Source organism: Homo sapiens, chromosome 1 (assembly GCF_000001405.40).
Source record: "Homo sapiens chromosome 1, GRCh38.p14 Primary Assembly".
In the NCBI taxonomy this organism is placed as follows: Eukaryota; Metazoa; Chordata; class Mammalia; order Primates; family Hominidae; genus Homo; species Homo sapiens.
The window spans coordinates 5,750,208-5,766,036 of record NC_000001.11 but is presented as its reverse complement, the minus strand read 5'-3'; the positions used below and the strand labels follow the sequence as shown (position 1 = coordinate 5,766,036).

The 15,829-nt window shown below is 51.1% G+C and overlaps 2 annotated features.

Moving 5' to 3' along the window:
* Window positions 10,595-10,793: a silencer, noted in NCBI's record as "fragment chr1:5815304-5815502 (GRCh37/hg19 assembly coordinates)". NCBI's record gives its function as "represses an EF-1alpha promoter that drives an FKBP-Casp9 reporter gene in an ReSE screen in phorbol 12-myristate 13-acetate-treated (for megakaryocytic differentiation) K562 erythroleukemia cells {active_cell/tissue: K562(+PMA)}" and the evidence as "EXISTENCE:reporter gene assay evidence [ECO:0000049][PMID:32094911]".
* Window positions 11,296-11,934: an enhancer, noted in NCBI's record as "H3K27ac-H3K4me1 hESC enhancer chr1:5814163-5814801 (GRCh37/hg19 assembly coordinates)". NCBI's record gives its function as "activates a minimal SCP1, AML or CMV promoter by ChIP-STARR-seq in naive and primed H9 embryonic stem cells {active_cell/tissue: H9 hESC(naive and primed)}" and the evidence as "EXISTENCE:reporter gene assay evidence [ECO:0000049][PMID:30033119]".

Here is a 15,829-nt window from a genome sequence, read left to right as displayed (position 1 = left end):
CCTGACATTTCAGCCCCAGATTTCTGGAAGCGCTTTTGAGAGGCAGATGTTTGCCAGTCTGCCTGTGCTATTGATTTATGTCTTAGTGAGGCTCGCCTTTACAATGATTAATATTTGATTTACACCCTGAGTTTGTCCTGTTTCTGATCTCTTTCAAACTCATTAAATCTTCTTTAATGGAACCTCTAACTTTATCCTTTGGAACTTACCTCCAGAGGCAGCTCCTGGCTCCCTTCATTGGCTTCTGACCCATTTATTTGCCATTTGAAAAAATAAGCACACATTTGGCTGGAAGTCGTCCTGGAGGGCTGCTGCCAGGGGGTGGTGTGGCTTGTTAAATGGCACAGCTGCTCCACCACGCCACCGTGGGAGCTTCTTCCTCTAATTGAATGTACTTGTGCTGAAAGGGTCAGGTCCCGTTGCCAGAGGTGGGGCAGAGTTTAGTCTGCAGACGGCTGTTTCCAGGGTGGGGGATGGTCAGGGGTCTTGGGCTCTCAGGGCTGGCAGAGGTCTCAATGAGCATCTGAGCCAGTAGTGAGCCCACTTTGCTCTGGTCCTAGGCAGGAGCATGGTTAGAAATGTGAGCCCCTCAGGCAAGACTGAGAATGATAACAGAGCTGACTTCTGGGGAGGAGCGAGCGCATGCTGGATCCTTCGCCAAACATATAAATTGGCAAGTGCTTCCTATTCATTTTCACATCCGACCCACACGACACTCCTGGGAAGCAGAAGCCCCATTTTAGAGATGGGAAAACTGAGTCTGTGCACCATGCACAGGGGACTCAGCAGCTCAGAGGCAGAGCCCAGATTCGCACCCAGGCGGTCTGAGCCCATAGGGTGCTCTGCTTCCTCTCTACAGAGCACTCTCGCTTCTGCCTCCGAGGGTGGAGCCCAGGGTGCGGGGAACCATCCCACAGCACATGAGATGGCCCCACCACGAAGGGCTCTCACCCCCAGGGTGCACAGTGGAGGAACCCTGTCCTAGTGGGACCAGCCCTGACCTCAGATGGCCTGTCTGCGCGCCAACAGTCCCACTTGTGGTCTCTAGGAGTCTCTGGATTTATTAATTTCAGAAGTCTGGGTACGGCCTAGTATTGGGTTTATCTGTGGAAGGATGGTAGATTTTATATGCAAGAGGGACCTAAAGAGGCAGCTTTTGTTGCGAGCAGAATGTGCCATCTGCCTGCACCGAGGCACAGAAATGATGCCGTGCAGTCACAGGGCACCTCGTATGGGCTGAGTCCATCTATAGGAAATGTCCAGCAGAGACAAATCTGCAGAGACAGGGAGGAGATTAGTAGCCGCCCAGGGGTGAGGGTGGGTGTGAGGGCATGAGGGGGTTAGGGGTCAACAGCAAAGGCATCAGGAAATGGGCTGAACTCCAGCCCCTGCCTTGCAGCGGCTGCTCGGGCGAGGAAATGCCTCAAGCTGGAATGCAGGAAGCGTCTGCTTCAGCCCAGGTCAGCTTCTGAGTTTTCTCCCTTCTTCTGTGTTCTGCACTTTCTATTACTCAGTTTACTTTATATTTTTATCAGGGCTTTAGAATGATCAGTGCTTTTTTCCCTTTTTCTGCGTTTTCTGATTTTTATAATATGCACGTTTATAACGCAAAGTGGGGATCTAATAAAAAGTAAATCCCAACCCTCTCTCCCCTGCAAACAGACAAAGCACAGCAAAACACCGGAGAATAATACTTGACTCCCCACTCCCCAAGCACCGGGCTTAAGCAGCTGGAGGGTGGGCTGCAGGGGCTGGTGGGGACAGAGCAAAGGACATTGACCCTCCTGCCCTCCTCTTCTTGGGGGAAGCACCTTTTCTATCCCTCCTCCAAGCCTCTTCTACAGAAGTGGCCCAGCAGCCACCATAACCTGGAGTGTGGCTGCCCCATCTGGGCCGTCCTCCTGCTCAGTGGGCCTCCAGTTTCCCTCCTTGGGCTGGGCATTGGCTACCCATTGGCCCAGTCCTCCTGTGAGGGGGCTGAGGCCACGATTCAGAGCAGGGGGAAGGAGGAAGAAGTGTAGATTGGTCTGAGTCTGAGCTGTGTCTTCTGGCTCGGCCTTCCCTGTGTTTTGTATGTTAGTCTTTGCCTGGGATGGAGGGTGTGCGTGTGCAGCTGGCCTCATTTCCCCTTGGCTGGGTGAGGTCCATTTCTGCCCCAGCTGCAAGTGTGGAATGCCTGTGCTGCTTTCTGTTGTCCCTGGACAGAGTGAGAAACATCAGGCAGAGTCAGGGAGCGTATTAGTCCATTCTCACGCTATGAAGAAATATCTGAGACTGGATAATTTACAAAGAAAAGAGGTATAATTGACTTACAGTTCTGCATGGTTGGGGAGGCCTCAGGAAACTCACAATCATGGTGGAAGGGGGAAGCAAACACGTCCTTCTTTACATGCCAGCAGGAAGGAGAAGTGCCAGGCAAAAGGGGGAAAAGCCCCTTGCAAAACCATCAGATCTCATGAGAGCTCACTCACTATCACAAGAACAGCATGGAGATAACTGCCCCCATGATTAAATTGCCTCCCACCATATCCCTCCCACAACACGTGGGAATTATGGGAACTACAATTCAAGATGAGATTTGGGTGGGGACACAGCTGAACCGTATCAGGGAGGGACGGTGTGGGCTAACTTAGAGAGGGTAGGCGGGAGAAGCTCCTCTGATGAGGTGACATTGAGCAGGAAATTTTGCACCCATTAATGAGAAAAACTCTGAAAAATAAGAATGGTGTGGAATTTTCCCAATTTGACAAAGGTCATCTGCAAAAAACCCGTAGCTAACCTCACATCTAATGGTGAAAGACAATGCTGTCCCTGTGAGATCAGGAAGAAGGCAAGGATGTCCACTCACCGCTTACTCAACTGAGCACTGGAAATTCTAGCCAGGGCTATAAGGTAAGAAAAGTAATTAAAAGACATAATTAAAAGATATACAGACATAATTAAAAGTAATTAAAAGACATAGAGATTGCAAAGGAAGAAATGAAGCTATCACTGCAAATGATATCATCTCTGTAGACTATTGCAAGGAATCTACAAAAAATATCCTAGAACTAGTAAATGGGTTCATCAAGTTTGCAGGATACAAAAGAAACATCAAAAAACCAATTGTACTTCAATATACTAGCAATGAATACATGGACACCAAAATTAAAAACACTATGCTATTTACAACTGCTTAAAAATGAAATATTTTGTTATAAGTGTAACAAAATGTGTATAGGATTGTATGTTTATTTATTTATTTTATTTATTTTTTTGAGGCAGGGTCTCTCTCTGTCACCTAGGCTGGAGTGCAGTGCTCTGATCATGGCTCACTGCAACTTTGACCACTTGGGCTCAAGGGATCCTCATACCTCATCTTCCCTAGTAGCTGGGACTACAGCTCCGTTACACTATACCTGGCTAATTTTTAATTTTTTTATAGAGGCAGGGTCTTGCTATGTTGCCTAGGCTAGTCTTGAACTTTTGGCCCCAAGTGATCCTTCTGCCTCAGCCTCCCAAAGTGCTGGGATTACAGGCATGAGCCACCAAGCCCTGCCAGGATCGCATGTTTACTAGTACATAATTCTGATCAAAGAAATAAAAGAAGATCTAAATACATGGAGAAATATATTTTGTTCATTTACTGGAAGGCTCAACATAGTAAAGATGTCATTTTCCCCTAAATTGATGCACTAGTTTAACCCAATTCCTATCAAAATCTCAGCAAGATTTTTTTTTTGTAAATATGAACAAGACTATTCTAAAATTTATTTGGAAAGACAAGAGGACTTGAATAGCTAAAACAAATTTGAAAAAGAAGAATAAAGTGGAAGGAGTCAATCTATATGATTTCAAGACTTATTATATCGCTGTCATGATCAACATTGTGTTGCAGTGGTGAAGGAAAGACATACAGATCGATAACCCAGACACAGACTTGCACAAATATGCCCAACGGATTTGGCAAATGTACAAAAGCAATTCAATGGGTAAAAGATAGCCTTTCAGCAAATGGTGCCAGAGCAATTAGCCATTCATAAGGCAAACAAGTTGAACCTTGAACAAAATCTCACACCTTATGCAAAAATTAGCTAAAAATGGATCATGAACCTAGATGTAAACTATGAAACTTAGGAAAAAACCTAGGACAAAAGCTTTGAGATATAGGGCCAGGCAAAGAGCTCTTAGACTTTGTTTCAAGAAGCATAATCCATAAAAGGAAAAATGGACTAGTTGGGCTTCATCAAAATAAAAACTTTTTCTCAGCAAAAGACCCAGTTAAGAAGCTGAAAATATAAATTACAGAGTGGGAAAGAATATTTGCAAACCACGTATTTGACAAAGGAGTAGTATCTAGAATATATAAAGAATGCTCAAAATTCAATAGTAAAAAAGCAAGTCATTCAACTAGAACATGGCATGAATGAGTGAAAAGGCATGAACAGACATTTCCCCAAGGAAGATATACAGATGGCAAATAAACACATGAAAAGATGTTCAATTTGGCTATCCATCAGGGGAATGCAAATTAAAATCATAATAAGATATTCTTAAATATCTGTCAGGATGGCTAAAATAGGGAAAAATTGACTATAACAAAAGCTGGTGAGAAGGTGTCCAAACAGAATTCCTCATACACTGCTGGAGGGAATATAAAATATTATAGCCATTGTAGAAAATATGTTAGTAGTTTCTTAAAAAAAAAAAACTTTCAATTACCATAGGACCTGGCAATTGCACTCCTGAGCATTTATCCCAGAGAAATGAATACTTGTGTTCACACAGAAACCTGCATACGAAAGTTTATAGCAGCTTTATTTGTAATAGAAACTGAAAACACCTAGACATCCTTGAACAGTCTATGGTTTAGCAAACTGTAGCACACCCAAACCATGGAATACTACTCAGCAATAAAACTATTGATGTGCGTGGCAACCCGCATGAATTTCCAGAGAATATCATGGAATGAAGAAAGCCAGCCCCGAAAGAAACAAAGCAAGGATGCTCACTCTCACCCCTTTTATTCAGCTTAGTGCTGGAAATTCTAGCCAGGGCTATAAGGTAAGAAAAGGAATGAAAAGACATACAGATTGGAAAGAAATAAATGTAGCTATTCCTGTTTCCAAATGATATCATCTATGTAGAATATTCCAAGGAATCTAAAAAAAGTCTCCTAGAACTAGTAAATGAGTTCAGCAAGGTTGAAGGACACAAAAGAAACATCTGTACAAAACATCTGTACAAAAGAAACATGCTGTATGATTCCATTTATGTAATTGTATTAGTCTGTTTTCACACTGTTGTAAAGAAATACTGGAGACTGGGTAATTTGTAAAGGAAAGAGGTTTAATTGACTTGCAGTTCCATCTGGCTGGGGAAGCCTCAGGAAACTTACAATCATGATGGAAAGTGAACGGGAAGCAAGCACCTTCTTCACAAGTCGGCAGGAGAGAGAAGAGAGCATGTGAAGGAGGAACTGTCAAACACTTACAAAACCATCAGATCTCATGAGCACTCACTCAGTATCACTAGAGCAGCATGGGGGAAACCACCTCCATGATCCAATTACCTCCTACCAGGTCCCTCCCTCGACACGTGGGGATTATCAGGATTACAATTTGAGATGAGATTTGGGTGGGGACACAGAGCCAAACCGTATCAGTAACAAAATTCTAGAAATGGAGAACAAATCAGTGACTGCCAGGTGTTAAAGAGGGGTGGGCAGGGGCGAGAAGTGGGTGTGGCTATGAAAGGGTTGCGGGAGGGACTCTGTGGAGGCAGAATGTTCTGTATCCTGGCTGTACCCATGTCAATATCCTGTTTGTTATATCGCACTACAGTTCTGCAAGATGCTACCACTGGGGGAAACTGAGTAAAGGGTCCATGGATCTCTCTATATTATTTCTTACAACTGCACTTGAATCTATAATTATCTTAAAATAAAAAGTTTAATGAAAGTTACGTTTCGAAGGCAATTTACGTAATTACATAATAACTTCGTGTGCAGCATTAGTGCTTATAGATAGTAAGTGCTAAATAAGGATGTGTTGACTCTTCAAAAAGCTCTTGGGAGGCATCTCCCATGACCAATGTCCCATGCTGGCCAGAGGGAAGAGTCAGCAGGGCAGGGCCCAGCCATGGGGTCCCCGGATGACCCCACTGCAGCAAGTCTCAGGGCTTCTTGGAGCATCAAGTTGGTCCTGAGCTCCAGGTGGAAGATCAAGGGAGAGAATGCCCAAAAGGAGAGAAATGGGGACTGGGACCCTGGTCTGTTCTCGGGGTACCCTGCCTAGTCCTGGGCACTGATAGGGGACTTTGACAATTTCGAGGAAGGAGACTCCAAAGCATGGGCTCCCTGCCAGGTGGGCATGCAGGGCAGAGTCCAGCTTGCCTAGGTCAGTGGGTGGTTGCTATGGTCACCTGCAGAAGCACGAGGGATCCTCACCTGATGTGATTCTGATGTCAGGGTTGGTGATGCCCTCGCCCTCTGCCTGACACAGACCCCACGAGGGGTGAGAGTTCCCACGTGGGCAGGGGCTGCTGTGGTTCGAGTCTCCCACCAGTGCCAGGTTTCTGCTACAGCTTGCCCAGGTGCGGGGAGCAATCAAAGCTGTCCGCAAACATCACCAAGTGGAGTCAGACCCTCAGCACAGTGGTCCTGCTGGGGACCCATCTGGTCTCCCCGTTTTGCCTTCTGCCCCTCAGCAGGTTGTGTCATGCTCTGTGTCCTCTAGGGGAGGGCCATCCCTGCACCATCCCTTCAGGTTCTGGGGTGAGGCCCGGCTGTGGCGCCCCTTCCTGTCCCCGTGTTCTTGGTGATGATGCCGCTCAGCTGCCAGACTCCAGCACTGGCGCCTCATCCCCCTTCTTCTCACAGCATTTCCTCTGTTGGGCTTCCGGCTGTTCTGTGTCTCCTCCTCCTTTTAGAGCCTGGGAAGCCCCCCCAAGAGCGGCTGGCGGGAGGAAGGGGGAAGGCTTGGGCCTGGGTACACAGATGTAGCCAAGGACCCCCTGACCTGCTCGGTGCTACGAGGGTTGCACCCTGCCCTGTGCTGGGCATGGGTGGACACAGGAGATCTGGCCCTGCCCACGGGGAGCCTGCACGCTTCTCTGAGGCAGGAACTCCCAGGGAAGAATGGAAGGGTAGTTTGTGGTTCTGACCCAGCAAGGCTGGCATTGCACAGCTGCCTGTCTCAGGAGGAGACTGGGAGTAACTGGAGGGATGAGTGAGGCCGGGAAGTCCTCCTAAAATCTCTCCCCACATGGCCATACTCATCATTTTAGAAACTTTCAGAGGCTCTTCCTGCACGTGAAGAAGATTCCAGAAGTGTGCTAGTCTTCCCCAGGCCATGGGGACTGCATCGCCCGGCCTCTCTGCACCAGTCTCCTCAACTCTCCTCATCCCGGGCTCTGGCTGCCCTGGCCCTGCTAGTCTACACTGGCTCTGAGGCCTCAGCCTGGCCCTTCTTCTGCTGGAATGGGCTTTGTCTTCTGGAAACAACCATGGATATGCAGGTGTTGCTCACAGTATTGTTTGTACTAAATGGGGACAGCTGGGAGCTGTCCCTTGTCTATGAGTGAGGGTGGCTGCATCGTCACAGGGTGCCGTGCAGTTTCCCACAGGGACATTGTGTGAGGGGAACCCTGTGAGACACGGTGGTTGAGGTTTCTCAGGTGGCTTGGGCCGGGCACTCAGGGCCCCAGGAGGGTGCGTGCCAGTGACCAGGAAGACCCAGGCAGTGTGCACGGAGTCTTCTTGGCTGGGTCTGGGCTGAGCCAGCCACGGCAGGTGCTCTGAAGAGCAACCAGAAGGCAGGGCTGGGACTCCAGGCTGCAGCAGGGCTCGTTCCTGCTCTCAGGGTCAGGTCCACCCACAGCCAGACTGCAGAGGCCACGGATGAGAGCACCAGGTGTGAGAGACACATCCCGTGTGAGGGCGAGGGCAGGCAGAACAAGACCGGTCCGAGGGGCAGCCCTGGGCAGGAGAGGACAGAGCCACACTGTGCTGTGTGTGTGTATGTGTGTGTGTGTGCATGAGTGCTTCTGTGTGTGTGTGACTGTGCACATGTGTGTGTCTATGTATCTATATGTGTGCATGTACATGCATGTGTGTATATGTGTGCATGTGTGTTTATGTGTGTGTGTGTGTGTGTGTGTGTGAGAGAGATCCTCTAACACACAGCTACCTTGCCCATTAGGAAATGTGGCCCTATTGGGATCTGGATTCTGGCTCCCGTCAGCTTCCCTTTCTTGTGGAGGAACTGAGGTGGAGGAGGGATGAGGAGGAGAGCGCTTTCTTCCCCACATATTCAAGATATATTCAGGAGAAAAGGCATTTTGCCAAACAGGAAGAAAAGTATGAGCCCATTTTTAGAGAGCTCATTTTAGAAAAACATAGCAATGAATGCTTAGGAAAATTACTGGAAGGATATACAAAAACATGTCAAGTGGTGCATTTGCAGTTATGGGATTTTGGGTAATTTTTATTCCCTTCTTTTGGCTTGTCTGCATTTTCTAACATTTCTACAATAAACATCTATTACTTTGTAATAACAACCAAAAAGTTATTTTAACAGTTGGCCTGGAGCTGTGACAAGCGTTCAGATGAGCCGCCTTCTGAGCGGCCGCCCGGGCGTGCTATGTTCTCACTTCTGTGGGTGCCCAGAGATGGTGGGGGACGCTCGGCGGAGATAATAAGCAGCTTCCCTGAAGGCTTCTTGCTCCCACCTTCGCACTGCCATGGCATCGGAGTGTCTGTCTTTTTGGGGTGCGTGGGTTTTGCTGGCCCTTCACGGTAGCACTCGTCACGGAACCCATTTACTCTCCCCAAGGCCCTACAGCATGAACTCGGGCTGGTTTCCACCCGGGGCTCATGTGGTCTTGGGGTCCCGGCTCCGGCTCTGCAGCCTCTGGGCGCTCAGGTGCATCCCTTGTTTCTCAGGGCCTGGGTTTAGGAGCAGTTATGACACGGGGCTCCTGGGCCATGTGTGTGAGTGCCAGAGACCTTGGACAGATCCCTTAGCCTTTCAGAGCTTCAGCTCCCTCGTATATACATGAAGGGGATAATAATATCGTCTACCACACAGGGCTGGTGAGAGATCGAGCGACGCAAGACACATCTAAAGCACGTGGAATAGTTCCCGGCAAGAAGCAGGCGCTAAATGAATGTTTACTGTTGTCATGATCTGTGCCACAGGCATGTCGGCAGGCAAGATGACGGTCTCCAAAGATACCCATGTCTTAACCCCCAGGACCTGTGACTGTGTCAGGTTACATGTGCTGTGGTTTGAATGTGTCCCTTCTCAAATTCAGGTGCTGCCAATGTGATGTATGAGTAGGTGGGGCCTTAGCAGGTGATCAGGCTGTGGGGGCTCCTCCCTTGTGAGTGGGGTCAGGCGCCCGGATAAAGGGCGTGACCCTTGTGTCCTTCTGCCTCCTGCCATGTGAAAGCACCACGTTCCTTCCCTCCCCAGGATGCAACCCTCACCAGACACCAAATGCCTTGAACTTGGACTTCCAGCCTCTAGGGCTGTGAGGAATACATGTCTGTGCTTTACACATTACCTGGTCTGCGGCATTCTGTTAGAGAGGCACAAGCGGACGAAGGCATGAGTGGGGGGATTAAGGGCGCAGAAGGAATTCAGGTTGCTGATCAGCCGGCCTTAACACAGGGATGTGAGCACGGACTCTCTGGGTGTCCCCAGTGTGATCACCAGAGGCCTGAAGAGTGGGAGAAGGAGGCAGAGAATCAGAGGAAGGCATGGAGCCATCTGGGTGCTGTGCTGTGGGTTCTGCAGGCGGAGGAAGGGCCCCTAAGCTAAGGGATGCAGGCGGCCCCAGAAGCTGGAATGGGCCCCGGGATGGCTTCTCCCCTGGAGCCTCTGGAAGAAGCGTGGCTCTGCTCACCTCCTGATTTTAGCCCAGTGAGACTGCTGCGGCCTTCTGAACCACAGGACTGTGGGATAATAACATGTGTGTCGTTTTTACCAGGTTTTTGATAATTTGTATGGCAGCGATGGGAAGCCAATCCAGGGGTGCTCTCAGCTCCTCTCGTGGAAGAAGGGCTGAGGGTCGGGGGGCTGGCAGCTTCCGGTGCCCCTCCGGCAGCTGTGTCTGGAATCTGTCGGAGCTGTGGGTCTCCCTTACCCACCTGAGATGCAGGTTCCTCTCCTGCCAGCTGGGATGGGGTTCTGGGGGGGGGGATCTGACACTTTGAGGAGGGGGCCCTGGAGCTCCTGCTGTCAGGGCAGGACCCACCTGGTTTCCCTAATGGATCTGATTTCTGGGGCCCGACCCTGTTGCCCCTGCCTTCTCCCAGCTGCCACCTGTGCCCAGGGGTTCCTGAACGTGTAAAGGGCGGAAGCCCGTCTCCCACTTTCTCCAAGTGCAGAGCAGGCTACACCCTTGATGGGAGGCTGAGTCTCCGTCTCCAGAATGCTGGGAAATCTTAAGCCCCGGCGGTGGAGAGCCTTCGGCAGGGACAGCTTGCTCAGATGCACATCTCTGATGAGTGTGGGCTGTCTTGCCATGAACGGGAAGATGTTTGCAGCCATTGTCATTAAAAGCTCCTGTTTTGGTGTGAAATCCCAGCTTCAGAAGTGCTGCCGGGAAGCGGCAGGGACAGAAAGCTCCCTCTGGGAGCCAGGACAGTGAAGGAGCCAGTGTGGGAATCATAGCCTCTCCCCTGCCTGCCACCCCATCTGCTCCAGCTCCATGTGGTGGGTCAGCCGGGCCAAGGGGCATCCTCATGGTGGCCTGCTAGGACCCTGATGGCTTTGTGAGCTGTGTGGAGAAGCCACCTGAGGCCCCCTTCCCAGCCATCCCCACTTCCCTGGGTGTCCCAAGCTGACCCTTCCTATACTGACCGTTGAGTTCTTAGCAGGCCCAGCACTATTCTGAGCACCTTTCCTGCTTTAAACAAGGCAACGATCCCAGCTTTCAGTGAAGTAGGCACTGCTATTGTTCCCATTTTATAGATGAGCAAACTGAGGCACAGAGAGTCAACTTAATTTCTAACAGTCACTCAGGCAAGAAGGCAGCAGAGCCAAGGTTTGAGCTCCGGCAGACGGACTCTGGCACCTGTACGCCCACCGCCTCTGTACACACTGGCCAGGGCCACGTGCCGGGGCTGGAAGGGTGAGTTTTGCTCTATGGTGACATCAGGCTGAATAAGAGGCATCTTCGTGCAGCTTTCATGTTTCTCCAGGATTTAGGGGCATGGAATTGTTTTTACGTTAAAAAGTGTACACATATAAGGAACGAAATGTAAAATCAGCCTGACGTTTTTAAAGGTCAAACAGGAGCATTAAAGACAAGGTGGGCCGGGCACGGTGGCTCATGCCTGTAATCCCAGCACTTTGGGGAGGCTGAGGCGGGTGGATCACCTGAGGTCAGGCATTTGAGACCAGCCTGGCCAACATGGCAAAACCTTGTCTCTATTAAAAATACAAAAATTAGCCAGGCATGGTGGCTCGCGCTTGTAATCCCAGCTACTCGGGAGGCTGAGGCAGGAGAATTGCTTGAACCCAGGAGGCAGAGGTTGCAGTGAGCCACGATTGTGCCACTGCACTCCAGCCTGGGTGGCAGAGCGATACTCCATCTCAAAAAAAAAAAAAAAAAAGACAAGCTGAATTTTTGGAGACCGCCTGGGGGAGGGCACCTTGAGTGTCTAAGGTCCTGCCATTTACCTCTGATTGGAGTTTCTCTGGAGGCCACACCAAACCCTGAATTGGCACAGAAGCCCCTGGGAAAGTGGAGTTCTCGGTGGGGGCAGGCGGCCTTCCCGGTATTCCTGTCCCTTCTCCCTGCCTGCCTGCTCCTCTGTGTCTGTTAGGCCTGGCCCCATGGTCTTTCGGGGGCGGTTTCCACATGGGGATTCAGTGTCCGAGAGAAGAGAGATTTCCTCCGTGAGCACAGGAAGATTCTTTTCGAGTCTGAAACTCAGTGAACAGAATCCCTGCTGGGAGGACGGTTATGTTCCGTAAATCAACTCTCCAGTAGCCCCAGATCTTTCTTTGAGGAGTGGGCTGTGTGGTCACAGGTAGACGGTCACTGCATGGCCACCCAGCCCCAGTTCCAGTGGCCTGTTCAAGAAACCAAGAAATCAGGCTGCCGGGGTCCTGGCTCACCCTCCAGCGGCAAGGGTGCTCGGGGCTGTGGTTGAGCTCTGGGACAGGGCTCAGTCCCCTTACCGGGGTTGTGCCTAAGGGCCTGTGACCCACCAGCATTTCCTCCAGATCCCAGGACCCCAGGCAATCTGGGCTTGCCAGTTCTATTGGCTCACCCATCCCCTAAAATTTGGGGCAGCAGCGGGATTTCCTTTTGGATTATCTGCTTGGTCCTGCGTAGACACGCAAGGGTGGAGAATCTTCCAGGAGTCCACATTTGCGGATTTGAGCGATGCTTTCTCCTCGCCGGCCTCAGTTTCCTCCTCTGTGAAATGGGGATTGAGCCAGAGGCTGTCTCTGTCTACAAGAGTTCTAAGTGCCCTTGGTTCTCTGGCTACACCAAACCACTTCCCAGCCATAGCTGGGGTTGCGGGGCAGGGGCTCCAGCGGGGGACCTGGGGGTGTGATCAGAGCAGGCTCAGGACTCAGGAGAATGTGGGCAGCCTCTGAGCCGGGGGTGCTGGGTTTGTCTCCTGGCCAGACCGCTACACACTTGGGAGAAATGACACAATTCCTTTCCCTTTGGTTTTCTTGACTATAAAATAGGGCTAGTGATCATTCCTAGCTCTAGGGTGTGGTGTGGTCCCACAGCATATTTAATCTAAATGGAAACTTTTCAGGAAGTGTTAGTTTTTCTTTTCCATGTGTCCGATGTTTAGTTCTAATCAAACCCTCCCTGGCATCTCTTCATCCTGTCTGCCTATCTTTCAGGGCCCCAAGCCTAGGGTGTCCTGGCAGCAGATGGGAAATGTCAACTCCAGGCACTAAGGACACAGCAATTTGTAATCAGCCAGTGACTGCTTTCAAGTTAGAAGGCGGATGTCATTTTGCAGGGGCCCTATTCAGACCCAGAGGCTCCAAGACACGAATGGCTCAGGATTTAGCTAATGTTTGATGCTGGGTGAGGGACTCAGGGATCCATCAGCAACCGCCTCTGAGTTAACTGTCCGGTGGGCGAGCTTTGCTGTGCAGGATTTTCCTCCCTTACTTAACCTCTTGGGCTCAGCGGGTCCCTTTAATTCAGCCCACAGCTTTGGGTATCTCTGCCTGTGTTCGTGGGCCCCCCGGGTGTGTTGACCCTGGTTTCTGGGGTCCCGGGGACGTTTGCTCTGTCTCCAGTACTTTGGCACTCCTGAGCCATGTGGTCTCCTGTCATGCTGTGAGCAGGGGTTGTGCCTTCTTGTCTCTGTACCCAGTCCCACCTACACTGTCTCAGGGAGGGTGCTTGGAGGGCCTAGGGGGATCCAAGGGCCCCCACCCCATTCATGGCCTCCTACCAGGGCCAGTGGTGAGTCTGGGCTCAGGGTGCTCCCGCAGGTCAGGCCTGCAAGGTGACAGCAGGCACTTCTGTGCACGTGGCCTGCCATTGACAAAGGAGGGAGCTCTTGTCCCTAGAATGGAGATAAGTGAATAAGCATTTCTAATTGGAATGTTCCTTCTACCCAAGTGGCTCTTTAAGTAGCTGGCTTGTGGGGAGAAAGAGGTGGAATCTGCATGGAATTTGCAAATATTCATGCTCCTTCAGCTCTGAGAGCTTTCTCTCTTAATAACGGAAATTTGTTCTCACTCTAGGAGTGGCACAAACGGAATCCGCGTGGCCGACGTGAGCCTTTATTTAGAATAATTCCAGATAAACAGCTCTGTGACCCGGTAAGTGCCTGTGCTTGAAACATCTCAACCTCACTCTGTTTTGGAAAAATTGTTTCCCAGCTTGGGTTGAGGTGGATGTCTGTGGGGATGTCTGCCTCCCACTGTCCCTGCCCTCAGCCCCTGCTGCCCTGGGACGGTCCCCCGGGGGCAGGAGATGAGATGACATTCCTGCCTGAAGGTCTCAGGGTTACGGGTCCAGGGCCAAGCTGATTTTCAGGATTCTCCCCTTCAGCCCTTTCATGCTTTCTGGGCTCCTCCCCCGCAGGATGCAGGCTGGGGACAGCGACTCTTTTAGTTGAGGTCAGGGGTCAGAGTTGGCATCTCTGGACTGGGTTTGCATTGCCAGGAGCTGGCAGGGTTTTCAGAGAACATCTGGGTTGGCTGCTGGTTATTCTACTGGACTCTGTTGGTTCTAGAAACTCTGGTCTGGTCGGCTATTGGTTTGCTAGGACTGCTATCACCGAGTGCCCCAGTCTGGGAGACTTGAACAGCAGAAATTGATTTTCTCATCATTCTGGAGAAATCCAAGATGAAGGTGTGGTGAAGACTGTCCGAGGCCTCTCCCTGTGCATGTCTCTGTCCAAATTCCCCCTTTTATAAGGACACAGTCTTACTGGATTAAGGCCTGTGCTAATGAACTCATCTTAACTTGTTCATCTACAAAGACTCTATTTCCAAATAAGGTCACATTTGGGTGCTGGGGGTGAGGACTTCAACATCTTTTGGGGGACACAATTCACCCATAACATCTTTCTAGAAGGAGCGCTTGTCCCCAGCAGGAAAATGACGGCAAGCATTTCCGGGCTGAACTGTTTCCCAGTGGTGCTTGTGCGGGGCGTTCTGCCAGCCGCGCTTTCTCATGGACTGCTGTTGCTTTCCTACAGACAGAGGAGGGGTCCTTCTCAGAGGGAAGAGGGCTGGGAGGCAGAACGCAGAGTGCAGAAGCAGGTGTCGGAACACTGCCGTGAGCTCAGGTTGCAAAGCCAGAGGGCCTGGGTTCAAACCCCAGCTCTGCCGCCTACTTGCTGTGTAACTCTGGAAAAGTGACTTAACCTCTGAGCCCCTCCCTCCCTCAATCTGTGAAAGAAGGGCTTTCTGAGGTTACAGGGGAAGATGCAGGCAATTCCCAGCATGTGCCTGACCCTCCCCAGGCTCCAGACACTGGGTCCCTGGGGCTGTTGTGTTCAGCGTTATCCTCAGTGTCCCTGCGGCCCATGCTGTCCCAGCTAATTGCACCCCATGGCACCCTGGGCTCCGCCGGGAGCAAGACTCCTTTAGCGAGGGGTTTGGGATCTCAGTCTGGGCTGCCCTTTTTCTGAGGGGGCCTCAGCTGTCACAGGCCCAGCATTGGGAGACAGAGCCCAGAGTGGGGGCAGAGCCACGAGGGTCACGTCAGAAACCAGGGGCAGGGACTGCCACAACCACTGTTGGGCCCTGGTGGGGTGGGGGTCTCTCTTGTTTGCTTCAAGACATAAAGGAGAAGAGTCCCAGTCTCCAGGGGCAGGTGGGGGCATGGGATTCCGCCACAGCCCCCTCCCTCCACAGGAAGGAAGGAAGTGCCGCCTTAGCCACAGGACAGGGCTCCATGGGGACGAGGGGAGACTCTGGGGAGGGGGAGGCAAGGAAGTCTGCAATGCAGAGAGACAGACAGGCAGAGAGACAGACAGACAGACAGACAGACAGACAAACAGAAGATGGAGTTCCAGGCAGGCCAGGCCCAGGTCTCAACACATGAGCCTCTCTGGGGCCAGCTGGTGAACAAGAGCTGGGGCCCTCTAGGCACAGAGCGGGGACTGGAGGGAGATCCTGGAATGCAGAGGCCACGATAGCTGGGATGCACTGCTGGAGGAAAATTTTAACCTGGACCTGGGGGTAGCCACACCCCAGACAGTGAAGGGCTGTCTCCAGAGGCCAGGACTGAGCAGCGGTCAGCCGCAGGCTGCGGGTGGGTGCAGAGATGCCGCCAGTGCTGGCCCCATCTGACCCCTACTGCCCATCCCAAACTGGGCCCTCTCCTGTGTGTCTCTGTC